The sequence below is a fragment of the Homo sapiens genome, chromosome 19 (assembly GCF_000001405.40).
Source record: "Homo sapiens chromosome 19, GRCh38.p14 Primary Assembly".
NCBI lineage: Eukaryota > Metazoa > Chordata > Mammalia > Primates > Hominidae > Homo > Homo sapiens.
This window is the reverse complement of record NC_000019.10, coordinates 38,120,603-38,146,761: the sequence shown is the minus strand read 5'-3', so window position 1 is coordinate 38,146,761 and position 26,159 is coordinate 38,120,603. Positions and strand designations below refer to the sequence as shown.

The 26,159-nt window shown below is 51.7% G+C and overlaps 1 protein-coding gene across 8 annotated transcripts in view, besides 5 other annotated features; it reads right to left on the bottom strand.

Annotated features, from left to right (window-relative positions):
- Positions 1-26,159, bottom strand: part of SIPA1L3 (signal induced proliferation associated 1 like 3) — a 301,162-nt gene that overhangs the window by 61,608 nt on the left and 213,395 nt on the right. For 7 of the 8 annotated variants that reach the window (XM_047438486.1, NM_015073.3, XM_017026518.3 and 4 more), the window contains 3 exons: positions 15,990-16,264; positions 5,327-5,578; positions 4,052-4,189 (listed from right to left, as the gene is read on the bottom strand). In XM_047438486.1, the coding sequence (XP_047294442.1) occupies positions 4,052-4,189; positions 5,327-5,578; positions 15,990-16,264 (665 nt within the window). Of the gene's footprint in view, positions 1-4,051; positions 4,190-5,326; positions 5,579-15,989; positions 16,265-26,159 lie in introns of those variants that run through there. The other variant, XM_047438490.1, reaches the window with a different exon arrangement.
- Positions 2,382-3,231: an enhancer, noted in NCBI's record as "H3K27ac-H3K4me1 hESC enhancer chr19:38634171-38635020 (GRCh37/hg19 assembly coordinates)". NCBI's record gives its function as "activates a minimal SCP1, AML or CMV promoter by ChIP-STARR-seq in primed H9 embryonic stem cells {active_cell/tissue: H9 hESC(primed)}" and the evidence as "EXISTENCE:reporter gene assay evidence [ECO:0000049][PMID:30033119]".
- Positions 13,680-14,180: an enhancer, noted in NCBI's record as "H3K27ac hESC enhancer chr19:38623222-38623722 (GRCh37/hg19 assembly coordinates)". NCBI's record gives its function as "activates a minimal SCP1, AML or CMV promoter by ChIP-STARR-seq in naive H9 embryonic stem cells {active_cell/tissue: H9 hESC(naive)}" and the evidence as "EXISTENCE:reporter gene assay evidence [ECO:0000049][PMID:30033119]".
- Positions 15,661-16,161: an enhancer, noted in NCBI's record as "H3K4me1 hESC enhancer chr19:38621241-38621741 (GRCh37/hg19 assembly coordinates)". NCBI's record gives its function as "activates a minimal SCP1, AML or CMV promoter by ChIP-STARR-seq in naive H9 embryonic stem cells {active_cell/tissue: H9 hESC(naive)}" and the evidence as "EXISTENCE:reporter gene assay evidence [ECO:0000049][PMID:30033119]".
- Positions 16,162-16,662: an enhancer, noted in NCBI's record as "H3K4me1 hESC enhancer chr19:38620740-38621240 (GRCh37/hg19 assembly coordinates)". NCBI's record gives its function as "activates a minimal SCP1, AML or CMV promoter by ChIP-STARR-seq in primed H9 embryonic stem cells {active_cell/tissue: H9 hESC(primed)}" and the evidence as "EXISTENCE:reporter gene assay evidence [ECO:0000049][PMID:30033119]".
- Positions 25,806-26,006: a silencer, noted in NCBI's record as "peak3469 fragment used in MPRA reporter construct". NCBI's record gives its function as "represses an SCP1 promoter by STARR-seq MPRAs in K562 erythroleukemia cells {active_cell/tissue: K562}" and the evidence as "EXISTENCE:reporter gene assay evidence [ECO:0000049][PMID:32103011]".

Below are 26,159 nucleotides of genomic sequence, written 5' to 3'. Positions count from 1 at the left end.
CTATCAAAAGTAGCTAAAATGAAAAACAGTGACAACGCCAAATGGTGAGGATGTGGAGACCCGGATCACTCACGCTCTGCTGGTGGGAATGTAAAATGATACAGACACTCTGGAAAACAGTTTGGCAGTTCCTTTTCAAACTAAAAATGGACTTACCATACGGTAAGCAATTGTACTCCTGGGCATTTATCCCAGAGAAATGAAAACTTATTTTCATGCAGAAACCTGTATGCCTGAATGTACATGTTCACCGCATGAATATTTATAATAGCCAAAACTCGGAAACTACCCAAATGTCTTTTTAAATCTTTTTAAAATATATTTTTAATATTTTAAAAAACTTTATTTCAACCCAGCAGCATAGATTCAAAGTGCCCTGAATATGCACTCCCCCAAATGTCTTTTGATGGGTGAGTGGTTAAACTGTGGTATATCTAGACCACGGAATAAACAGCATAATGAGTGAACTAGAGACTCGCGACAACGTGGATGAACCTTAAGGACATTCTGCTGAGTGAAAAAGACAACCTCTGAAGCATACGTACATCTGATTCTTTTTATCTAACATTCATCATGAAATAACAATAATTAAAAGACAGGTTGGGTGTGGTGGCTCACGCCTGTAATCCTAGCACTTTGGGATGTCCAGGTGGGAGGATGGCTTGAGGCAAGGGCTTCAAGATCAGTCTCAGCAACACAGCGAGACCTTGTCTCTATGAAAGAAAAGAAAAATTGGCTGGGTGTGGCGGTGCATGCCTGCAGTCCTAGCTAATTGCAAAGCTGAGATGGGAGGACTGCTTGGGCCCAGAAGAGTGAGGCTTCAGTGAGCTATATGATCGTGCCATTGCACTCCAGCCTGGCTGACAGAGTGAGACTTTGTCTCCAAAAAAAAAAAAGAGCCTCAGAACAGATGAATGGTGAATGGTTGCCAGGGGTTAGGCACAGGGGGAAGAGATGGGTGTGGCTATAAAAGGGTAGCATGAGGCACCTCGTGATGGTTACACAACACTTCACATGTGATAAAATTGCACAGAGCTACAGACACACACACACAAATGAGTGCATGTATAACTGGTGAATTTTGAATAAGCTGTAGGCCTGTACCCATGTCAACCTCTTGCTTTGATATTGCGTTATAACCATACAAGATGTTAACAATAGGGGAGGCTGCGTGAAGGGTTCAGGTTCACAAGACCTCCCTGTATTCTTTTTTTTTTTTTTTTTTTTGAGACGGAGTTTTTGCTCCTGTTGCCCAGGCTGGAGTGCAGTGCCACAGTCTTGGCTCACTGCAACCTGCACCTACCAGGTTCAAACGATTCTCTCGCTTCAGCCTCCTGAGTAGCTGGGATTACAGGCGCGTGCCACCACACCCAGCTAATTTTTTGTATTTTCAGTAGAGACGGGGTTTCATCATGTTGGCCAGGCTGGTCTCGAACTCCTGACCTCAGATGATCCACCGATCTCGGCCTCCCAAAGTGCAGGGATTACAGGCGTGAACCACTGTGCCCGGCCACCTGTATGTTTTTTTTGGCAACTTCCTGTGACTCAGTAATTATTACAAAATAAAAAGTTAAAATAATAAAGGCAGATACCAAGACTTTAGGAGAAAACAACAACAACAACAACAGTTCCCAAGAGCTTTCGGTAACACCACTGCCACCACCTTTGTTACTGGTGAGTCACTCTGACTGCCATTTCCAACCTCAGCCCCTGCTGTCACCTGGGTGCCCCCACACCCCATGTCCCGCACACACCCGATTCCTCTCTGATTCTCCTGTGTTTCACAGCATCCTGCTTGTTCATATCTGTGGCCTTTACTCTGTTTGGAATGACTTTTTCTCTCCTCTCTGTCGCAGACTCCTATTAGTCCCTCAAACTTCTGTTCAGATGTCACCTCCTCCAGGCAGCCAGTCTAGACCTCCAGTGCTGGGCTGTGTTCCCTCTTCCTCTATTAGAGTGCTCATCAGAGTGCACATGGTTTTTACGATCCTCTCCATCACAGTCAGCAAGGGCTGACTACAGAACCCCCTCGTAATTGAGTATCTCAAATACTCCTCCTGGCACGCCAGAAAGCTCTTGAGACCCTTTGCTGAATGAAAGCTGAATGGTGGCTACTAGAAGAAGAAACAGTGGGCGTGTTTCTCCAATTGAACAAGAGGCTTAGAATCTAACAATGGATGACTGTGGTGACTCTCAGAGAATGGTCCCTGGTGCAGCACCCCGAACCTACCAGGTCAGAAATTTGGGGCTCAGGCCCAATAATCTGTATTTTAACAAGTCCTCCTCTGGGTGATTCCAATGCCTGCTAAAGATTGAGAACCACTGGTTTGGTGGCCTGATCCCTGGTCTTAAGGCAGGTGGTTTCATTTTAACAAACCCACTCACTCCATCCTTTCATCCAATATATACCAAAGATCAGCCATGTGTCGGACTGTGTACTATGTGATGGGAGGTCTTGAAGAGCACGCTTACCCTCTCTGTCTCTCTCTCGCTCTCTTACAGGTGCACATACATGCACGTGCGCAAGCACACACACTCTTAGCTGGCTAATAAGGATGAAGAGTGCTCAAGGCCACAGTCAGGAAATACACAGGAATTGGGGGGCAGTGCCTTGCCTCAAGAGGGAGCTCCAGAGAAGGGTTCTGGAGAGGGGCACAGAAGCTTGAGTTGGTAGGATGGGGGGAGTGTGGGCGAGGAGTGTGAAGCATATTCAGGCCAAGGAAGGAACACCATCAAGGCTCTGAAATACAGACAGTCCCCCTAGGAAGCTGGGAGTGGCCAGTGTGGCTAAAGTGTGGCACTGCACGAGACTCGCAGGGGCCCTGGTGGCCACAGGGAGGGGCCAAAGCTGTGTCCTGAGGGCTCTGGGAGTGGTGGGAGGGTTTGGAGCAGGGGACAGGCATGTTCAGGTATAGAAAGATCTGGCCAGGTGCACGGGCTCACACTTGTAATCCCAGCACTTTGGGAAGCTGAGGCAGGCGGATCGCTTGAGGCCAGGAGTTTGAGACCAGTCTGGCCAGCATGGTGAAAATCCGTCTCTACTAAAAATACAAAAATTAGCTGGGCGTGGTGGCGAGAGCCTGTAGTCCCAGCTACTTGGGAGGCTGAGGCAGGAGAATCACTTGAACCCGGGAGGTGGAGGTTGCAGTGAGCTGAGATTGCGCCACTGCACTCCAGTCTGGCGACAGAGTGGTCTCAAAAAAAAAAAAAAAAAAAAAAGACACAGAAAGATCCCTCTGGCTGTTGAGTGTTGAGTGGAGGGTAGACCAGGGGAGGTGAGATGAAGGCTGGAAGCCCACTGTGGTGGCCTGGGCAAGAGAACAGGGAAAGGAGGAGAGGGTGGGTGACAGAGATGCTCAGGAGGAGGACCACTGCAAGGAGGAGGAGGAAGGGGACATTCACAGGATGAGGGCCACAGCTCAGGCCCAAGGACTAGGATTGATGTGGCTGCCCCTGAGACAGGGACCTGGGGGCAGAGGAAGAACAGAGGGCACGAGGGCTGAAGGCAGCTGGGGAATAAGCTCAGCCGGAGCCAGAGCCTGAAGGGCCTTGAATGCCAAGTTTATCCTGAGGGCACTGGGGAGCCATGGAGGGTTTGGGGAGATCTCTCAGGCTGGTGGGGAGCCATGGAGGGTTTGGGGAGATCTCTCAGGCTGCCAGGTTGCAGATGGACGCAAGTGGGCAGAACTGAATCCTGAAAGATCTCGAAAACTGGGTAATGCTGGCAGCCTGGTCCTAGGGGCTTAGGGCTGGAGAGAGTTAGATGCATGGCCGTGCTGGATAGTGGATGCTCTTGCTTGACAGGTGTCAAGAGAACAGCAATCAAAATTCTGCTGCAAGGAAAGCCAACGATGGGTCCTGCCCAGCCCGGCCCAGTTTTGCTCCAAAACTTGAGACATAACCACCCCATGGGGCTCCTCTGAGGACCTTCAGGGGTCCAGAAACACCATAAAATGGCAACTAGAATTGTGGGGGTGTGCATTTGCTGGGGAAGAAGGAGGCACAGCTTTCATCAGATCCCTTAACATGAAAAGAATTGAGGGAGGCTGACCTTTCTGGGGATGGCTTGTATCTCACGTAGGTGGCCGAACCGGGGGTGGAGAAGCTCCCAGAAGGCTGTCGGTAGGGAGGGACTCTGTCGGCCCCTGCTGGTGATACTGTGTAAGGGGTTTCTGGGAAGCTGACAGGCCTAGAAGGAGACAGGGGAGGAAGGAGGCAGAGGGTGAGTAGGAGGGTACCCCTGCCCTGGGAGGATGGACGGACAGACAGATGGATGGACAGACGGACAGACAGACAGACCAACCGAACTTTCCCCCGCCCAGCCACATCCCTTCTGCTATTCACTGCTCAGGATGAAGGGGAGGATGCTGAGCACAGGGCGAGAGAAGCTGGGATGCTCCTGGGCCCCCTCTTCCCGGATCCACTGCGGCTGCCCGCAACTCACAGCTTCTGCAGGCTGCTCAAGACCATTCTCGCCTCTGCCCCCTGGGGACAAGATGTCCCTCTGCAAGTTGGATTCCTTCATTTTTTGGAAAATTTTCTTTTTATCTTTTAATATATAATATCTTCAAAAGAGTATCTGTTAAGTTATATTTGTCATCATCATAAAACAAACTCCCTGAAGCTACCAGCCAACCCCAGGACTAGAACGGTGGTGCTAACATCTACCTGTGGGCTTCCCCACTTCCCATTTCCCTGCCTCCTCCAGGAAGAAGTCACTGTCCTAAATTTTGTGCTTATCAGTCCCTTCACCTTAAAAATAACAGTTTTATTTTATTTTATTTTTCAGAGATAAGGTATTGCTCAGTCTGGAGTGCAGTGGTGCAATCACAGCTCACTGCAGCCTCCAACTTCTGGGCTCAAGCCATCCTCCCACCTCAGCCTCTTGGGCAGCTGGGACCACAGGTGTGCATCACACCTGGCTAATTTTTAATAAATGTTTTTTATAGAGCCAGGGTTCTGCTATGTTGCCCAAGCTCTCTAACTCCTGGCCTCAAGCAATGCTCCTGCCTTGACCTCCCAAAATGTTGGGATTACAGGCGTGAGCCACCGTGCCCAGCCTAAAAAGCAGAGCTTCAGTCGTCTACTTAGTATAATGGATTTCTAACCCAGAGCTCCCCAGCACTGGGTCCCCAGACAAGAGGCCAACGGTGAAAGCTGAAACGAAGGAGGGAGGGAGGAACAAGGGAGACATAAGGATAAGAAGGAAGGTCGAAAGCTTGAGGCGAGGAAGAGGATGGAGGAAATAGTGAGGAGAGGGAGGGGCGGAGGATGGGTGTGGGCTGGTGGGGGTTGGGAAGTATTGGTCCCCCCAGCAGGTGCTTACCTCTTGCTGTGCAGTGGCTGGGACTCCCGGAAGGGGACTATGGGGGTCTGCTTCAGGGGCCGGCTCAGGGACTGGGCATGGCCGGGAGTGGTTGGAGTGGCCCACTTGGAGGCTGGTAGAGAGTTATGGGATGCGGGCCCGCTCCACTGCCAGGGAGCATTGCTGCGGTAGGGGGGCCGGCCCCCAGGAGTGATGCTTTCCTGCTCCGTCTTGGGCTCCGAGGTATTCATGTCGTAGGTCTCCGGCCAACCCCTGGGGAGAAAAACTGCATTACTCAGAAAGGCCCCAGCCCACCAACACGTGGGCCTGCTGTCTAGGCTGGGTTTTCCTGGCCCAATATAAACCGGGATGGCTTTTTTTTTTTTTTTTTTTTTTTTTGAGACAGAGTCTTGCTTTGTCGCCCAGGCTGGAGTACAGCGGCATGATGTTGGCTCACTGCAACCTCTGCCTCCTGGGTTCAAGCGATTCTCGTGCCTCAGCCTCCTGAGTAGCTGGGACTACAGGCAAGCGCCACTACGCCCGGCTAAGTTTTGTATTTTTAGTAGAGAAAGAGTTTCACCATGTTGGCCAGGCTGGTCTCGAACTCCTGACCTCAGGTTATCCACCCGCCTCAGCCTCCCAAAATGCTGGGATTATAGGAGTGAGCCACCGCGCCCGGCTGGGGATGGCCTATTTTAAAAGTCGAGTGAATACTCCTTAAAATGGTCTGAAACTTACCAGCTCAGAGTCTTCAACCAGGACGGGACCCAACACAGGGACTCCGACTGCCTGGCCCTTTCCACCTCATCTCCTCTTCCCTCCTCCCACTCGAATTCTCTGTTCCCGCCCCTCGCTTCTACCTGACCCAGGCCACACGGCTGCCAGGCCGCCAGTGTCCTCGACAGACCTGCCTGGCCCCCCTTAGCGGTACTCAGGGCCAGAAAGGCGGATGTCCTCAGAATCAAAGGACAGTAACTGCCTTGTTCCAAAGAATCTTAAAGGCAGCTGGAAGAGGAGCAGGTGACCTACTTTGTGGGGTGGTTAAAAAAAAAAAAAAAAGCCATGAAATCTACAACCTTGAAATAGATGCAGAGAGACCTGTGACTCCCCCTAGACCAGGCTGGCACATGCACCATGGTGCTCCTGGCTTGAGGCGGGGAGATCCGCCGGCTGGGCTGGCATTCTCCACTGCCACTGCAGCCCTGCATGGGAGGGGTCCCCGAGCCATGCTCATGAAATCCACCTCCTGGCAGCTGAGAGCTGAGCTCAGAGGAGCCTTCAGCCTGGAAGTGCCCATACCCCCATCGAGCTGATCCTCTGAGTGTCTCCTGAATTCCCTGGAGCCACCCCGTTCATGGCCACCCAGCAAAAGATCTGGTGGATATGGTGGTTCAGAGGCTGCTATGGTCTGGATGTGTGTTCCCCCAAAAGTCACGTGTTGGAAACTTAACCCCCAATGCCACTGTTGGGAGGTGGGGACTAGTGGGAGGAGCTTAGGGCAGAGCCCTCATGAATGGATGAATGCCACTATAGAAAGGGCTTGCGGGAGTGGACTCTCTCTCTTCTTCTCTTCTGCTGTATTTGGACGTGGCGTTCCTGTCCTCCAGAGGTCACAGCATTCAAGGCCCCATCATGGAAGTAGAAAGACCAGGCCCTATCCTGCCAGTGCCTGGATCTTGAACCTGCAGCCCCCACAACTGTGAGAAATGTATGTCTGTTCTTTATCCATTATCCGATCTCATATATTCTGTCATAGCAGCACAAAACAGACTAAGACAGAGGTGGATGCGCTCTGGCACCCAGGGCCCGACACACCGCACCCCTCGGTAGCGCCATGGCTGGAACTGACACTTGGCAGTGTCTTCTGGCTGTCCCTTTGGACTGGCAGCTGCCAATGTCTCACCAGGCACCAGGTGAGGAACAATAACAATATGAACGTCTATCAGAGCCTGTAGACATGCCAGGCCCGGGCAGAGGTGGGGAAAGGTACTATCACTGTCTCCAGGCAGTGCACACCTGCCATTCCTGCCTGCCTGGTGTCTCTCCCCACACCCCCTCTCCTGATAACAGGTCTTTGTTAATATGGGCTCTGGGTGGGGCTGACCCCACTTCCTGGCTCCAGGTATTAGCATGTGACCCAGGCCTGACCAATTAGAAGCTTTCTCCAAGCACCCACCCTGACACGATGACTAGCACAGAATTGTCATGTGCTCTAAGCAGGGCCAACGAGAGATAACGAGCATCAGTTGTTTGTTTTTTTTGAGATGGAGTCTTGCTCTGTCACCCAGGCTGGAGTGCAATGGTGAGATCTCGGCTCACTGCAACCTCCACCTCCCAGGTTTCAGCGATTCTCGCGCCTTAGCCTCCTGAGTAGCTAGGACTACAGGTGTGTGCCACCACACCTAGCTAATTTTTGTATTTTTAGTAGAGATGGCATTTCACCATGTTGCCCAGGCTGGTCTTGAATGCCTGACCTCAAGTAATCTGTCCTCCTCGGCCTCCCAAAGTGTTGGGATTACAGGCGTGAGCCACCACACTCAGTTTTTTTTTTTTTTTTTTGAGATAGAGTCTCGTTCTGTCACCCAGGCTGGAGTGCAGTGGTGCGATCTCGGCTCACTGCAACCTCTGCCTCCCAGGTTCAAGCGATTCTCCTGCCTCAGCCTCCCGAGTAGCTGGGATTACAGGCATGTGCCACCATGCCTGGCTAACTTTTGTATTTTTAGTAGAGATGGGGTTTCATCATGTTGGCCAGGCTGGTCTCGAACTCCTGACCTCAGGTGATCCGCCCACCTTGGCCTCCCAAAGTGCTAGGATTACAGGCATGAGGCACCACGTCCTATTCTGGAACTGTTTCGAAAACCCCCTGTGGGAGGGGGAGGCAAGAGACTGACTGAGAATGACAGCAAACATGGAAAGGTAAACAAGGGACAGAGACTCCTGGTGAGGGTGTCTGAGTCCCTGGATATGGCTATGCCTAAATGCTGTCCCATCTCCTAGTCTTGTCGGCTACGTGAGCCAGTGAAGACTCTCTTTTGCGGCGCCATGTTTCAGTCTGTTCTGTTGCTGGTACGCAGAGTCCTGATCAGTACATCACCTTTTAAAGACAAGTAAACCGAGGCACAGAGAAGTTAAATAACCCATCCAAGGTGAAACAGCCAGTAAGAAGTAGAAGTTGGATTTAAATATTTAGCACGTTGACTCCAAAGCCCACAACTTTAACCACCATGGACAATGGCCCCACCGTAGAGTGGTTTGGGAGCCAGTGGGTAGATTTCTTATGTCCTTGACTTTTCCTTTAGTTACTTTATTATTTTTTTTTTTTATTTGAGACAGAGTCTGGCTCTGTTGCCCAGGCTAGAGTGCAGTGGCGTGATCCTGGCTCACTGCAACCTTCGCCTATTGGGTTCAAGCAATTCTCATGCCTCAGCCTCCTGAGTAGCTGGGACTACAGGTGCCTGCCACCATGCCTGGCTAATTTTTGTGTTTTTAGTAGAGATGGGGTTTCACCATGTTGGCCAGGCTGGTCTCAAACTCCTGACCTCAAGTGATGCATCCACCTCGGCCTCCCAAAGTGTTGGGATTACAGACATGAGCCACCATGCCTGGCCTTTTCCCTTAGGTACTGATGGCTTCATCTTGGGCTAAGAGTCCCTGGGTACGACCTCAAAGAGAAAAACATAGCTGGGCAGTCCCAGCTACTCACACAACTCAGTCTGAGTTGGGAGGATCACTTGATCCCAGGAGTTCAAGGCCAGCCTGGGCAACACAGCAAGATCCTGTGTCCAAAAAAATAATAACTAAATAATAATTAAAATATAAAGAGGAAAATATTAATCAATCACTTTGAAGGCAGCATGGGCTGGGTGCAGTGGCTCACACCTATAATCCCAGCATTTGGGAGGAACAGACGAGAGGATCACTTGAACCCAGGAGTTCTAGACCCCATCTCCTAAAAAAAAAAAAATATGGGCCAGGTGCAGTGGCTCACATCTGTAATCCCAGCACTTTGGGAGGCCGAGGCGGGTGGATCACCTGAGGTCAGGAGTTAAAGACCAGCTTGGCCAACATGGTGAAACCCCATCTCTACTAAAAATACAAAAATTAGCCAGGCATGGTGGCACGTGCCTATAATCTCAGCTACTAGGGGGGTTGAGGCAGGAGGATCGCTTGAACCTGGGAAGCGGAGGTTGCAGTGAGCTGAGATCATGCCACTGCACTCCAGCCTGGGCAACAGAGTGAGACTCCATCTCAAAAACAACAACAACAACAACAAAAATGAAGGCAGCATGCAGCATGGAGAGGTACAGACCAGGGCTGCGGGGCCAGATGGCTGATCCAGATTCTAGCCCCGTTATCACCTACATGGGTGTGGGTGAGGAATTCTCTTCTCAGAGCCTCAGTTTCCTAATCTGTAATATGGGGCTGGCTGTGAGCATTCTCTGAGCGTTAGCAGAGTCTGCACATGACAACTGCTTAACAAATCAGAGCTGATGCAGTTGCCTCCTCCAGCTGATTCTAAGGACAGTTTACCTGCTTTTCCCACAAACAGAAGCAAAAGCCTCACTTCCACTTTCTGAAATCCAACCAAACCACCTTGGGGCTCTGGAAAAGATTCTGCCCCAGCTCCTCCCGGCTCTCGCCTTCCCCAGTGATCTGAAAATGATCATCATCGAAATTATCAGGAGCTCAGCAAATAATGAAGATTCCTGGGCCCCATCCCAGATTACACGCATCAGAATCCCCTGAGGCAGGGCCCAAGGATCTGCATTTGACTGAGCTGCCTGTGATGATGCTGATACACAATAACATTTGAGAAGGCCTGCTTCATTTATTGATTAAAAAAATTTTTTTTTGAGACGGAGTCTTGCTGTGTCACCCTTGTTGGTGTGTAGTGACGCAGTCTTGGCTCACTGCAATCTCCACCTCCCGGGTTCAAGTGATTCTCCTGCCTCAGCCTCTTGAGTAGCTGGGATTACAGGCGCCTGCCACCATGCCCGGCTACATTTTGTATTTTTAGTAGACACCGGGTTTCACCATGTTGTCTAGGCTGGTCTTGAACTCCTGATCTCAGGTGATCCGCCTCCCTCGGCCTCCCAAAGTGCTGGGATTATAGGTGTGAGCCACTGCGTCTGGCCCTTGAATTTTTTTTAAGGATTAAAATGATATAACACGCATCCCTGTCTCCCAATCCCATCCTCCAGTTTCAACTACCAGAAGCAACCACTGCTCCCACTTTCTTACGCATTCTTCTTTTTTTTTTTTTTTTTTTTTTTGAGACAGTCTCACTCTCTTGCCCAGGCTGGAATGCAGTGGCGTGATCTCACACCACTGCACTCCAGCCTAGGCACAGAGAGTGAAACTTCGTCTGAAAAAAGAAGAAAAACAAAACTAAAACAAACAAACAAAAAAACCCAAACAAAACTCCAGCCTTGTGGCCTGGGGGTAGGAGGAAGACCCCATGCATTCTCCTCGGTGTCTGAGAGCATGGGGTCAGCGTGCAAGCCATGCGGCCTGGCTGGTGGCAGCGAGGGCACTTCTATCCCGTCCTCACTGCTCGCCTCAGAGCTCACTACAACAGACATTTGAGCCAGGGTTGCATCAACAGGCTGGAGAAAGCCCAGAGCCTGGGTCATCAGCTCTGCAAATGAGGTCAGCTACACACCTCTGCATTTGAAGAACAACAAAAACCACCCAAGTCCTGACCCACGCCCACCCCTGCAAACGGGAGATCCTGTTTCAGCAGCTGCCTTATAAAGGGAACAGGAGGGAATGTCTTCCTCCTGAAAAGGGCAGGGAGAAGAACTCCTCTGTCTGGTTGCACTCTCCCTGGCCCTGTCTCCCCAAAGCTGGAGAACTGCAGACTTTTCTTTGCCTTTCAGTTTGTCCCTACCTGCATGTTTGGGGTGAGAGTCATGCGATGCGCAAGCTGGCTTATCGTGTGCACCCGTGGGAGTGTGTGGAGAGGGGTGCATGTCCTTCCTCGAGGAGCGTAGCCACCAGGGCACTTGCCTGTGGGGTTATCTGGCCTTGACTTGCCCCTGCAGAGATCTAAGCAGGTGTGGCTGGGCTGTGGCTCCGGGCAGGGTAGGAAGGTGGCAGGAGAAAAGGGCTGGGAACCGGAGACACCCGGGGCATGACTGGAGTCCTGAGGTTGAGCCATCTGGGATGTGGGTAGGGGTGGCCACACCCTCAGGTTCAGGGTTTAGGCCTGCCCAGAACTGTCCCCCACCAAGTGGAGAGAGAGCAAGCACGACTCAGGAAGGTGAGGGTGGGGACATCACTCGCATGCCCGTGTATTAATAGCTCGTGATGGCTTTCAGAGGCTGCAGAGTATAATGGAGACAGGCCGACCTGGATTTGAATTTTGCTTTGCTGCTTACTAGCTGTACAACTCTGCAAAGTGACTTGTTCACTCTGGGCCTCGGTTTTCTCGTCTACAAAGCAGAGATCACACCAGCCCTGGTGTGAGCCCAGCAAGGTCATATGTGAATATGGCACTCATCGTCACCCCATCTTGTGCCCTCCTCTTGGCTGAATCTGCTGCAGCCATGCAGGTCCTCTTTCTGGTCTGTCTCCAAGCTAAGGGCCTTTGCCCTCACCTTCGGGCCTTCCCGGACCACCCTATCCAATGTGGGTTATGTGCCCTTTACAGTCCTCACATCCAGTATCTTGGTGCCAGTGTCTCTCGAGCGCCTCCTATAGGCCAAGTACTGTCCCACGTGCCTTTTTTTTTTTTTTTTTTTTTTTTTCCTGAAACAGAGTCTCGCTCTGTCATCCAGGCTGGAGTGCAGTGGTGCAATCGGCTCACTGCAAACTCTGCCTCCTGGGTTCAAGTGATTCTTCTGCCTCAGCCTCCTGAATAGCTGGAACTACAGGCGCACGCTACCATGCCCGGCTAATTTTTGTATTTTTAGTAGAGACGGGGTTTCACCATATTGGCCAGGCTGGTCTCAAACTCCTGACCTCATGATCCACCCGCCTTGGCCTCCGAAAGTGCTGGGATTACAGGCATGAGCCACCAAGCCTGGCTTTTTTTTTTTTTTTTTTTTTTTTGAGAAAGCTTGAGTGCAGTGGTGTGATCACAGCTCACTGCAGTCTCAACCTCCTATCTCACCCTGAGTAGCTGAGACTACATGCATGTGCCATCACACCTAGCTGATTTTTAAAAATTTGGGCTGGGTGCAGTGGCTCATGCCTGTAATCCTAGCACTCTGGGAGGTCGAGGCGGGCAGATCACATGAGGTCAGGAGTTTGAGACCAGCCTGGCCAATAAGGTGAAACCCCGTCTCTGCTAAAAATACAAAAATTAGCTGGGTGTGGTGGTGCATGCCTGTAGTCCCAGCTACTCGGGAGGATGAGGCAGAAGAATCGCTTGAACACAGGAGGCGGAGCTTGCAGTGAGCTAAGATCATGCCACTGCACTGCAGTCTGGGCAACAAGAGTGAAACTCAGTCTCAAAAAAAAAAAAAATTTGTTGTAGTGGCGAGGTCTTGCTATGTTGCCTAGGCTGGTCTCGAACTGCTGGGCTCAAGTGATCTTCTGGCCTCGGCCTCCAAAAGTGCTGAGAGCCACCAGCACTCCACAGTCACAAATTCACTGGGTCTGGCCTGTCCTACGTGCTTTACAAGTTGGATCTCCTTCAACTTCACAAACGCTCTTGTGGAAAGGACGTTATTGTCCTTGTTTTACAAATGAGGAAACCGGGCACAGGGTGGTAAGGCCACTTCCCTAGGGTCAAAGGTAACAAGGGGAAGAGCTGGGATTCAAACCTAGACAGCCTGCCTCTCCTGCTATGCTCTCCTGCCTCCCCACTCTGTGATATAAAATCATCTCATTCATTTACTTGTTTACTGTTTGTCTCCCCTGACCCATTGGGGCCTCACTCCATGAGGCCAAGGCCTTGGCTGTCCTCTGTGCACTGTTTCCAGAGCTGAGAACATGGTGCGTCTCTCTCATTGGTCACTTCTGGAGGTTGCTAGGGACCAACTCATTATTCTGAAAACTGTATTTATCTTGTCTTCTCTGTACAAATTATACCTCAGGGTAACTAAACGGTTACTGAAAGAAAGCTCTTTTTAGAAGCATTCCAGCCAATATATGAAGAAGGAATGACAGAATGAAGATGGCACTCGTCTGCAAACCGTCATGAAATGATGGATCTAGGCAGGGCCTAGCAGTGGCTGCTGGGCTGTGAAACAGGACTGGAGGGGACATGTGGTGATGGCCAGGTGCCGCTGTCTGAAGCCTCTGCTTGCCCCTAGTGTCACTTGCAGGGGGAGACCAGGCACGCAGTGCCTTCTCACAGATGCATACCTAGGAGTGCTGCGGCCGAAAGACATCCCATTGGGGCCTAAGCAAGCTTCCATCTTTGACTCTAGTTTACAGAAAATACCAGTGGTGGAGCAATAGGCTAAAGGACACCATGGGGAGGCCGCCAGCTAAAGCCAGGAAGGGGGAAGCTCTAAGGACAGGTGACCTGGTTTCTTTCCAAAATAAACTGCAAGGAAAAGGCCAGGCGCGGTGGCTCACATCTGTAATCCCAGCACTTTGGGTGGCTGAGGTGGGTGGAACACCTGAAGTCAGGAGTTCAAGACCAGCCTGGCCAACATGGTGAAACCCCAGCTCTACTAAAAATATGAAATTTAGCCAGGTGTGGTGCTACATGCCTGTAATCCCAGCTACTCAGGAGGCTGACACAGGAGAATCGCTGGAACCCAGGAGGCGGAGGTTGCAGTGAGCCAAGATTGCGCCACTGCACTCCAGCCTGGGTGACAGAGCAAGACTCTGTCTCAAAGCAAAAAAAAAAAGAGCCTCAAGAGATACATGAATCAAATGCAATAGGAGAATTCTTTTTTTCTTTTTTTTTTTTTTTGAGACGTAGCTTCATTCTTGTTGCCCAGGCTGGAGTGCAATGGCACGATCTCAGCTCACCGCAACCTCTGCCTCCCGGGTTCAAGCAATTCTCCTGCCTCAGCCTCCCGAGTAGCTGGGATTACAGGCATGCGCCACCACGCCCAGCTAATTTTGTATTTTTAGTAGAGACAGTGTTTCTCCACATTGGTCAGGCTGGTCTTGGACTCCAGCCTGGTTCAGGCTGGTCTTGAACTCCCGCCTGGTGATCCGCCCGCCTCGGCCTCCCGAAGTGCTGAGGTTACAGGTGTGAGCCACCACACCCGGCCAATAGGAGAATTCTGATGAACAACTGTTTAAAAAACAAAGAGATGAGGTCTCCCTCTGTTGCCCAGGCTGGAGTGCAGTGGCACAATCATGGCTCCCTGCAGCCTCAACTTCCTAGGCTCAAGTGATTTTCCCACCTCAGCCTGAAAATAGCTGGGGCTACAACTGCACTGTTTTTTTTTTCTCCTTTAGGCAGAGATGCAGAGATGCAGAGACGGGGTCTCACTGTGTTGGCCAGGCTGGTCTTGAACTCCTGGCCTCAAGTGATCTTCCCACCTCAGCCTCCCAGAGTGTTACGATTACAGGTGTGAACCCAGTCTAGATAGTTGACACTACGAAATTGCTGTTGGCTGGACGCAGTGGCTCACGCCTGTTAACTCCAGCACTTTGGGAGGCCGAGGCACGTGGATCACGAGGACAAGAGATTGAGACCATCCTGGACAACATGGTGAAACCCCGTGTCTACTAAAAATACAAAAATTAGCTGGGCGTGGTGGCACGTGCCTGTAGTCCCAGCTACTCGGGAGGCTGAGGCAGGAGAATCGCTTGAACCCGGGAGGTGGAGGTTGCAGTGAGTTGAGATCACGCCACTGCACTTCAGCCTGGGCGACAGAGCGAGACTCCATCTAAAAAAACAAAAAACAAAAACAACAAAAGAAAAAACAAAACAAAATAAATAAGTCACCTACCAGCTTCCCACTGAGCATGGAATAAAACCCAAGCATGGAATAAAACCCATGAAGCCCACACCGCCTGCCTGGTCACCTCTCTGTCCTTTGCTCTCAGCTCTCACTCCTGCTCGCTCTGCTCCAGCCACATGGGCCTCCCCGTACTCCAGGAACACATCACCCATGTACACTGGGGAGGCTGTGCCCTGGCCAGCTCCTGTCTGGAGCCCGCTGGCCAGAAAACCACATGGCTGCCTCCCTGTGGAGCCTCGTGGAGCCTTCTCTGCCCGCCTTGTAAGCAGCTCTCCCATCGTGCTGCAGCCCCTTCATTACCCTGCTTTAATTTCCTTCTGAGACTTAGTACTACCTGATCCGGTATGACACACCTATTTCTTCACGGCCTGTCTTTCCCTGTAGAACACAAACCGCAAGGGAGCAGGCACTTTGTTGTGGTCACTTTGAACAGAGCTTGCACACAGTAGGGGCTCAATAAACACATTTTGAACAAATGAATGAAGTGTGGGGGGCCCACAGGCAAGCAACTATTAACATCCTGTGCTTCATGTAGGAAATGGGAAGAATGAGGCTCTCCCCTCACAGGGCAACTGTGGAGATTAAATGCGATCATGCACGTATGAAGGGCTAAACCAATAACTGGCATACAGTAAGCGCTCTGTAGATGTGCCCTCCCCGTCCTGTCACTGTTGCCACTATTCCTGCCTAGAAGGGCCTGCCTATCCCCCCTCTATTGGGACCTCAAGTGACAGTGCCAGGGAGGCCTCATGCCAGCGATCTGGGAGCTGCCACCCACCACCTGGCTGAAAGGTGGAGGCCCTTACCTCCGGGGAGTGCCGTCCTCAAAAGGCGGGATGATGACCACCTTCACAGTGACAGAGGTGCGCAGCAGGTCGATCATCTGGTCGTGGGTCAGTGTGACCACGGCCACCTTGCAGATCTCCACTAGTCGGCTGCCCTGCCGGAGGCCGGCCTGCCAGGCGAACCCATAGTCCTCAACCTCGGCCACCGTGCCGTCGTACTTCACGTGGAAGCCCAGCTGCCCGAGCCCGTTCCGCCGAAGCGTCATGTCCACCGTCTCCCAGCCACTGGTCATCACCTGCAGGCCACAGGCAGGATCGAGCCTCAGAAGCTGCTTGGGTCAGCTCCTCTGGAAGACCCCTGGTCACGTTCCCCGCTTTGAAGCCAAAAACCTGCCAACTCCCATCTATTAATACCTTCCCGGGTGATGGCAGGGGACCCGCAGGGGGAACACGCACCCGGTCCCAGCCTGGCTTCCTGATTTCTGGAGGGGAAATGTGGATATGCGACCCCGTGGCTTCTAACCTTGCAGAGACCATGGCAGTCATGAGCTGTGGCTCCAAAGGCCCCGAACTCCCTCCTTCCTGGGGTCAGTGGGATTGCACTTCTTGGCTCCCTTGTGGTTGGGTGGGGCCCTGGGACTTGTTTTGGCCAAAGAGTTGCGAGTGGCACTGCCATGTCCTCTGGGCTGTGGTATTTATTTCATCATTTTATTATTTATTTATTTTTGAGACGGAGACTTGCTCTGTCGCCCAGGCTGAAGTGCAGCGGCATGATCTCAGCTCACTGCAACGTCTGCTTCCTGGGTTCAAGCGATTCTCCTGCCTCAGCCTCCTGAGTAGCTGGGATTACAAGCGTCTGCTACCACGCCTGGCTAATTTTTGTATTTTTAGTAGAGACAGGGTTTTGCCATATTGGCCAGGCTAGTCTTGAACTCCTGACCTCAGATGATCCACCTGCCTCAGCCTCCCAAAGTGCTAGGATTACAGGTGAGAGCCACCACACCCAGCCAAACCTGCTTTAAGCCACTAATACTGTATCCTGACTGACACAATGACTCTAACTAAAATACACAAGGAAGCATGAGACCAGAAGTACTGGGACCTTTTCTAGGTTGGGAACTCACATTATATTCTTTTACTTCGTGACACCATTCTTTTTTTTTTTTTTTGAGACAGAGTCTCGCTCTGTCGCCCAGGCTGGAGTGCAGTGGCGTGATCTCGGCTCACTGCAACCTCCGCCTCCCGGGTTCAAGCAAGTATCCTGCCTCAGCCTCCCCAGTAGCAGGGATTACAGGCACGCGCCACCATGCCCGGCTAGTTTTTTGTATTTTTAGTAGAGACGGGGTTTCACCATATTGGTCAGGCTGGTCTCGAACTCCTGACCTCATGATCTGCCCGCCTCGGCCTCCCAAAGTGCTGGGATTACAGGCGTGAGCCACCATGCCCGGCCTCGTGACACCATTCTTGGAGGAAGAAACCCTTTCCCCATCTCCTCCTCAGACCTTCCCCCAACATGGAGCTGATCGGACCACGCAGGGCCTGGCCTCCAGGACTCCCTGCTTCACTGGGTGAGATATTCCCCTGGATAATGTGTTACCATAAGATCTGAGGACCTGCTGAATAGAGCCCTGCCCCCTCCCCCCAGCATGCTGTTAAGCGATCCCCTCTTCTTGGGATAAAAACAAGATGAATGTAACCAGCCATGGCTATTAAGCAAGTTGTCAAGAATGCCTGCCCTTTCCTAAAACTGCGTTATGGAAAGATAACGGAATGGCTTACATTTCCTGTGAGAAGTCATCCCCTGGCTAGAAATGATGCTATGTAACATACCTATCAGGATGCCCGCTTTCATACTTTTCTCACCACCACTTGAAGAAAGGAATAAATTTTTTTTTTTTTAAGACGGAGTCTCGCTGTCGCCCAGGCTGGAGTGCAGTGGCCCGATCTCAGCTCACTGCCACCTCCGCCTCCCTGGTTCAAGCAATTCTCCTGTCTCAGCCTCCCGAGTAGGTGGGATTACAGGCATCTGCCACCACACCCAGCTAATTTTGGTACTTTTAGTAGAGATGGGGTTTTACCATGTTGGCCAGGCTGGTCTCGAACTCCTGACCTCAAGTGATTCACCTGTCTCGGCCTCCCAAAGTGCTGGGATTACAGGCGTGAGCCACTGCGCCCGGCCAAGGAAAGAAATAATTTTATGTCACAAACTACTCTACAAATTCGTGTTTTAGAAATAATTTTACGTCACAAACTACTCTACACATTCGTGTTTTACACACATGCCCACAGACACAAATATTCCTTGCAATTCAAATCCGTCACATTCTTGAGTGTGGATAGCAAGAAGTAAGCATTTGGATGGTAAAGTACTTACCTGAAAATGTCACTGAATCTGTTTGGTTCCTGATTTGGACGGCGAGAATTTGGAAAGTGGGGGAAACGTGTGACCAAAACAATGCTTCATAAAATAGTCTTATCTTTACTCACTGAGGCACACTGTGACACTTTTTATTCTTTCCCATCCTATTACTACGGCAGAACCCTCATGAAGGGGATCAGTGCCCATATAAAAGAGGCCTGACGTGGTGGTATACGCCTGTAATCCCAGCTACTCAGGGGGCTGACACAGGAGAATCGCTTGAACACAGGAGGCAGAGGTTGCAGTGAGCCGAGATCACGCTACTGCACTCCAGCCTGGGCGACAGAGCGAGACTGTCTCAAAAAAAAAAAAAAAAAAAAAAAAAAAAGAGGCCCAAGGAACTTGTTCACCTCTTCCACCATGACAGCAAGAAGGTGCCATCCGTGAAGTTGAAAGGGGCCCTCACCAGATACAGAACCTGCGGGTACCTTTATCTTGGACTTCCTGGCCTCCAGAAATGCGAAGAAATAAATTGCTTTTGCTTATAAGCTACCCCACCTAAGCTATGTTGTTATATTCAGGCTAAGTGGACTAAGATATCTAACCTTTAACACTGTTGCAACTCGGGCTGAGTGCAGTGCCTCACACCTGTAATCTCTGTAATCTCAACACTTTTAGGAGGCCAAGGCAGGAGGACTGCTTGAGCCCAGGAGTTCAAGATGAGCCTGGGCAATATAGCAAGACTTCATCTCTACTAAAAATAAAATAAAAAAAAAATTAGCTGAGCATGGTGGCATACGCTTGCAGTCCCAGCTACTTGGGAGGCTGAGGTGGGAGGCAGGCTTGAGCCCAGGAGAGTGACACTGCAGTGAGCGATGACTGTGCCACTGCACTCCAGCCGGGGTGACACCAAGACCTTGTCTTTAAAAATTAAAGTTAAAATTAAAAATAAAAAAAATTACATCTCTGTGATTGATTTTATAGCCCACTCATGGGTGACAATGTGTTTATTTGACAATAAGGAATTATCGTTAATTTTTTATTTTATGTATGATGGCTATGTTATGTTTTAAGAGTTGTATCTTTTAGAAATAAATATTGAAAAATTTACAGATGAAATGATAAGATGTCTAGGATTTCTTCAAAATAATTGGGAAAGAGAGGGAAGGAAGAAAGAACAAGATCAGCCATGGGTCAGTAACTATTGTAGATGGTAATGAAGACTGGGGTTCTCTTTTTTTTGAGACGGAGTTTCGCTCTTGTTGCCCAGGCTGGAGTGCAATGGCACAATCTTGGCTCATCGCAACCTCCGCTTCCTGGATTCAAGCAATTCTCCTGCCTCAGCCTCCCAAGTAGCTGGGATCACAGGCATGCGCCACCACACCCAGCTAATTTTGTATTTTTAGTAGAGACGGGGTTTCTCCATGTCGGTCAGGCTGGTGTCGAAATCCTGACCTCTGGTGATCCAACTGCCTTGGCCTCCCAAAGTGCTGGGATTACAGGTGTGAGCCACTGCAGCCGGCCAAGACTGGGGTTCTTATATGATTCCCTTTGCTTTAGTGTATGCTTGCAATTTTCTATAATTAAAAAGTAAAATTGGGCCGGGCACAGTGGCTCATGCCTGCAATTCCAGCACTTTGGGAGGCTGAGGTGGGCAGATCACCTCAGGTCAGGAGTTCAAGACCGGCCTGGGCAACATGGTGAAACCCCGTCTCTACTAAAAATACAAAATTAGCTGGGCATGGTGGTGCACATCTGTAATCCCAGCTACTTGGGAGGCTGAGGCAGGAGAATCGCTTGAACCGGGGAGGCGGAGGTTGCAGTGAGCTGAGATTGCACCATGGCACTCCAGCCTAGGCAACAGAGAGAGACTGTCTTAAAGAAAAAAAAAAAGAATTGTCTTGGGCCTCACATGAAATACACTAACATTAATGATAGCTGATAAGCTTAAAAAAATCACAAAAAAACTCACAATGTCATAATGTTTTAAGAAACTTTATGAATCTGTGTTGGGTGCCATTCAAAGCCCTCTTGGGCTGCAGGTTGGACAAGCTTGCTCTAAATGTTAAACTGTGGTAACTAACTAAATACATCTGGGACTGTATCCAACCTGTGGATTTGAGACCTTCTCCTTGTCTGATTTAGCACCATCTGATAGGTTCTCCTGGCATCCTCCACACCCCCCTTTTAAGCTCTTGGCACTTCAATTGCGTGGTGTTTTTTTTTGTTTTGTTTTGTTTTTGTTTTTGTTTTTGAGATGGAGCCTCACTCTGTCACCAGGCTGGAGTGCTGGAGTGCAGTGGTGCAATCTCGGCTCACTGCAACCTCCGCCTCCCGGGTTCACGCCATTCTTCTGCCTCAGCCTCCTGAGTAGCTGGGACTACAGGAGCCCGCCACCACGCCCGGCTAATTTTTTCGTATGTTTAGTAGAGATGGGGTTTCACCATGTTGGCCAGGATGGTCTCGATCTCTTGACCTGGTGATCCACCCGCCTCGGCCTTCCAAAGTGCTGGGATTACAGGCGTGAGCCACCGCGCTTGGCCGAATTGCGTGTTTAATATCTGTCCCAGAGAGGAGCACCATGAAAGTAGGCCTGGGTCTGTTATGGTCATCACTATGTCCCAGCACTGGCCAGGCCAAGGCCAGGCGCATAACAACACTCATTCAATTAACCAGTGATGGGATACCGTTAGTTCAGGATGTCTGGGGCAGTTGAGTCAGCCTGCCGGGGAGAGTGTGGAATCTGTACCCTGTGGGTGCTTCACAAAGAGAGAGACTCACTGTCACAAGTCATTCAAAACGGGCCTGCCCCTCCACGGGAGATGGCTTATGTCACCATTCCCTGGCCCACTGGTTCCCCAGCAGGCTCTGGGGCACTGAGACTGGGGGTGGGGGTGGGGGTATGGCTGTGGAAATATGCTCCAAAAGGACTCCGCCAACAGTAGGCACGGGGGTGGGTGTGGGACAGAGTGGCACAGTGAGGATGTGGGTAAAACATGTCACCTGGCATGGTGCCTGGCATGGTCCCTGCTCAAGAAACGCGAGCTGCTGTCAAGATTAGGGGAGGCGGAGTAGCCTAGTGTTTAAGAACCCAGGCTTGGCCGGGCACAGTGGCTCAGGCCTGTAATTCTAGCACTTTGGGAGGCCAGGGAGGGTGGATCACTTGAGGCCAGGAGTTCGAGACTAGCCTGGCCAACATGGCGAAACCCTATCTCTATTAAAAAGGCAAAAATTAGCTGAGCATGGTGGCGGGCGCCTGTAGTCCCAGCTACCTGGGGGGCTGAGACAGGAGAAATGCTTGAACCCGGGAGGTGGAGGTTGCAGTGAGCCGAGATCGCTCTGCTGCACTCCAGCCTGGGGGACAGAGCAAGACTCCATCTCAAAAAACAAAACAGCTCCCTCTCCCTCTCCCTCTCCCCACGGTCTCCCTCTCCCTCTCTTTCCACAGTCTCCCTCTGATCCCGAGCCGAAGCTGGACTGTACTGCTGCCATCTCGGCTCACTGCAACCTCCCTGCCTGATTCTCCTGCCTCAGCCTGCGGAGTGCCTGCGATTGCAGGCGCGCGCCGCCACACCTGACTGGTTTTCGTATTTTTTTGGTGGAGACGGGGTTTCGCTGTGATGGCCGGGCTGGTCTCCAGCTCCTAACCGCGAGTGATCCGCCAGCCTCAGCCTCCCGAGGTGCCGGGATTGCAGACGGAGTCTGGTTCACTCAGTGCTCAATGGTGCCCAGGCTGGAGTGCAGTGGCGTGATCTCGGCTTGCTACAACCTCCACCTCCCAGCCGCCTGCCTTGGCCTCCCAAAGTGCCAAGAGTGCAGCCTCTGCCCGGCCGCCACCCCGTCTGGGAAGTGAGGAGCGTCTCTGCCTGGCCGCCCATCGTCTGGGACGTGAGGAGCCCCTCTGCCTGGCTGCCCAGTCTGGAAAGTGAGGAGCGTCTCTGCCCGGCTGCCATCCCATCTAGGAAGTGAGGAGCGCCTCTTCCCGGCCGCCATCCCATCTAGGAAGTGAGGAACGTCTCTGCCCGGCCGCCCATCGTCTGAGATGTGGGGAGCGCCTCTGCCCCGCCACCCCGTCTGGGATGTGAGGAGCGCCTCTGCCTGGCCGCGACCCCGTCTGGGAGGTGAGGAGCGTCTCTGCCCGGCCGCCCCGTCTGAGAAGTGAGGAGACCCTCCGCCTGGCAACCGCCCCATCTGAGAAGTGAGGAGCCCCTCCGCCCGGCAGCTGCCCCGTCTGAGAAGTGAGGAGACCCTCCGCCCAGCAACCACCCCGTCTGGGAAGTGAGGAGCGTCTCCGCCCGGCAGCCACCCCGTCCGGGAGGGAGGTGGGGGGTCAGCCCCCCGCCCGGCCAGCCGCCCCGTCCGGGAGGTGAGGGGCGCCTCTGCCCAGCCGCCCCTACTGGGAGGTGAGGAGCCCCTCTGCCCGGCCATCCGCCCCGTCCGGGAGGGAGGTGGGGGGGGGTTGGCCCCCCGCCCGGCCAGCCACCCCGTCCGGGAGGTGAGGGGCGCCTCTGCCCGGCCGCCCCTACTGGGAAGTGAGGAGCCCCTCTGCCCGGCCAGCCGCCCTGTCCGGGAGGTGAGGGGCGCCTCTGCCCGGCCACCCCTACTGGGAAGTGAGGAGCCCCTCTGCCCGGCCGCCACCCCGTCTGGGAGGTGTACCCATCAGCTCATTGAGAACGGGCCATGATGACAATGGCGGTTTTGTGGAATAGAAAGGGGGGAAAGGTGGGGAAAAGATTGAGAAATCGGATGGTTGCCGTGTCTGTGTAGAAAGAAATAGACATGGGAAACTTTTCATTTTGTTCTGTACTAAGAAAAATTCTTCGGCCTTGGGATCCTGTTGATCTGTGACCTTACCCCCAACCCTGTGCTCTCTGAAACATGTGCTGTGTCCACTCAGGGTTAATGGATTAAGGGCGGTGCAAGATGTGCTTTGTTAAACAGATGCTTGAAGGCAGCATGCTCCTTAAGAGTCATCACCACTCCCTAATCTCAAGTACCCAGGGACACAAACACTGCGGAAGGCCGCAGGGTCCTCTGCCTAGGAAAACCAGAGACCTTTGTTCACTTGTTTATCTGCTGACCTTCCCTCCACTATTGTCCTATGACCCTGCCAAATCCCCCTCTGTGAGAAACACCCAAGAATGATCAATTAAAAAAAAAACAAAAAAAACAAAAAAAAAACTCCAAAACCCAGGCTCTTTGGGCTCTGGGCAAGTCAAGGTATCTCTGGGCCTCAGTTTCCTCATCTGCGAAGTGAGGACCTCATCAGGCTTTTGTGAGCAAGAGACGCAAGACCACCCAAGGTGCTGAGCAGGGTCTGACGCAGAGCTGGCGCCCATTTGATCCTCACTATTGCGGCCACTATAGCATACGACGCATTTGTGCCTGCACTCGGTTCCTGCTCACTCAGCGGCTACTGTGCACCAGATGCTGGCCCAGGTGCTGAGGACACGGCAGTGAACAGATAACACACAGTGCATGGCAGATGGTGGTTAAGCAGGCAAAGCGCGTGAATGTGCTCCAAGCCAGGGGAGGGGGTGTGCAATCTTAGATAACGAGGCCTCACCGACAAGGCGACATGTGACCAAAGGCCTGTAGGAGGAAAGGGAGCGAGCCATGTGGTGATCAGAGAAGTGTTCCAGCAAGAGGTGGTACAAAGGCCCTGAGGCTGGACGCCGCCCTAGCATGCGCATGAAACCTCAGAGGTCTTCATGGCTGGGGCAGAGAGCGCAACAGTGACATGAGGTCAGAGAAGTCGACAGGGAGCCAGTTCACACCCGGCCTCATGGGCTTCTGTAAGGACTGAGGCTTTAACCTAGAGTGACCTGAGGGTTTAGGCAGAGAGGTGATGTGATCAGATTGCTCTCACTACCACGTCGAGAACAGGCCACAGAGAAGCAAGGGCAGGGGTAAGAAGGACCAGAAAGGACACCATCGAAAGTGTCCGGGAGAGACCAGGGTGGCTCGCTCCAGGGTGAGGGCTCTGGGAGAGGTGGCTGATGCCTGCCTACAGAAGTGGAGCTGACGAATGTGGGCATGAGAGAGAGTGGAGCCCAGGCTGATGCCAAAGCTCTGACATCCGCAAATGGAGGGATGGAGTCGACCTTTTTTTCCCTAAAACCTTATTTGAGTAGAGGACTTCTATTTTACAAAGTCAGGAAACCTCTGAGAGGGGTGGGGAGGAACACAGGAGTTTGCTTTTGTTTGTTTTTTTGAGACAGAGTTTTGCTCTGTCACCCACGTTGGAGTGCAGTGGCTCACTCTCAGCTCACTGCAACCTCTGCCTCTCGGATTCAAGCAATTCTTTTCCCTCGGCCTCCCGAGTAGCTGGGATTACAGGTGTGTGCCACCACGCCTGGCTAATTTTTGTATTTTTAGTAGAGATGAGGTTTTACCATGTTGGCCAGGCTGGTCTTGAACCCCTGACCTGAAATAATCCATCCACCTCGGCCTCCCCAAGTGCTGGGATTACAGGTGTGAGCCACCGCGCCTGGCCACTTTTTCATTTTTTTTTTTGAGTCCGGGTCTTTCTCTGTTGCCGAGGTTCGAGTGCAGTGGTGTGATCATAGCTCACTGCAGCCTCAAACTCCTGGGCTCAAGTGATCATCCCACTCAGCCTCCTGAATAGTTGAGGCCACAAGTGTGCACCACCATGCCCAGCTAATTTATTTTTTGTTTGTTTATTTATTTTTTTTTGAGACGGAGTCTCGCTCTGTCACCCAAGCTGGAGTGCAGTGGCAGGGTCTCGGCTCACTGCAACCTCCGCCTCCCAGGTTCACGCCATTCTCCTGCCTCAGCCTCCCGAGTAGCTGGGACTACAGGCACCCGCCACCATGCCTGGCTAATTTTTGTATTTTTAATAGAGACGGGGTTTCACTGTGTTAGCCAGGATGGTCTCAATCTCCTGACCTTGTGATCTGCCCACCTCGGCCTCCCAAAGTGCTGGGATTACAGGCGTGAGCCACCACGCCCGGCCTATTTTTTATTTTTATTTTTTGAGACAGAGTCTAGCACTGTCACCCAGGCTGGAGCGCAGTGGCGTGATCTCAGCTCACTGCAAGCCTCGCCTTCCGGGTTCACACCATTCTCCTGCCTCAGCCTCCCAAGTAGCCGGGACTACAGGCGCCCACCACCATGCCTGGCTAATTTTTTGTATTTTTAGTAGAGATGGGGTTTCACCGTATTAGCCAGGATGGTCTTGATCTCCTGACCTCATGATCTACCTGCCTCGGCTAATTTATTTTTTTATTTTTTTTTTAGAAACGGCATCTCACTGTATTGCCCAGGCTGGTCTCAAACTCCTGGGCTCAAGCAATCCTTTCTCCTCGGCCTCCCAAAGTGTTGGGATTATAGGCATGAGCCACTGCACCCAGCAATGCAGAATGATTCTTGTACCTGCTTTTCAGATGAAGAAACTGAATCACAAAGAAGCTAAATAACTTGGCTCAAGGTCATGCAGCTGGTAAGTGGCAGTGCTGGGACTTGAAGCCAGGCCTTCTGACTAGATCTTGTGCTCTGAACTGCCGTGTTATATGCTATCTCTATTTAGCACACATGGCACGGCGTTCTGCCAAACCCACTGCAGAGGCAATCACTGACCACAGTGTTCTTTCTTGTGGAGCTTAGATGGGGCCTGAGTACTTCTCAGCACAATGCTTCAGGCAGACAGCAGCTAAGCTATCACCAATCTGCCACTCTTGGTTTGTCCACGAGGGGTTTAGGGGAAGATTTCTACCTAGACTGTGAGTCTTTGTCTTTTAATAGGGCAAGTTAAACCATTCACATTTACTGTGATTACTAACATGGAACTCATTCCTGCCATGTAATTTTAT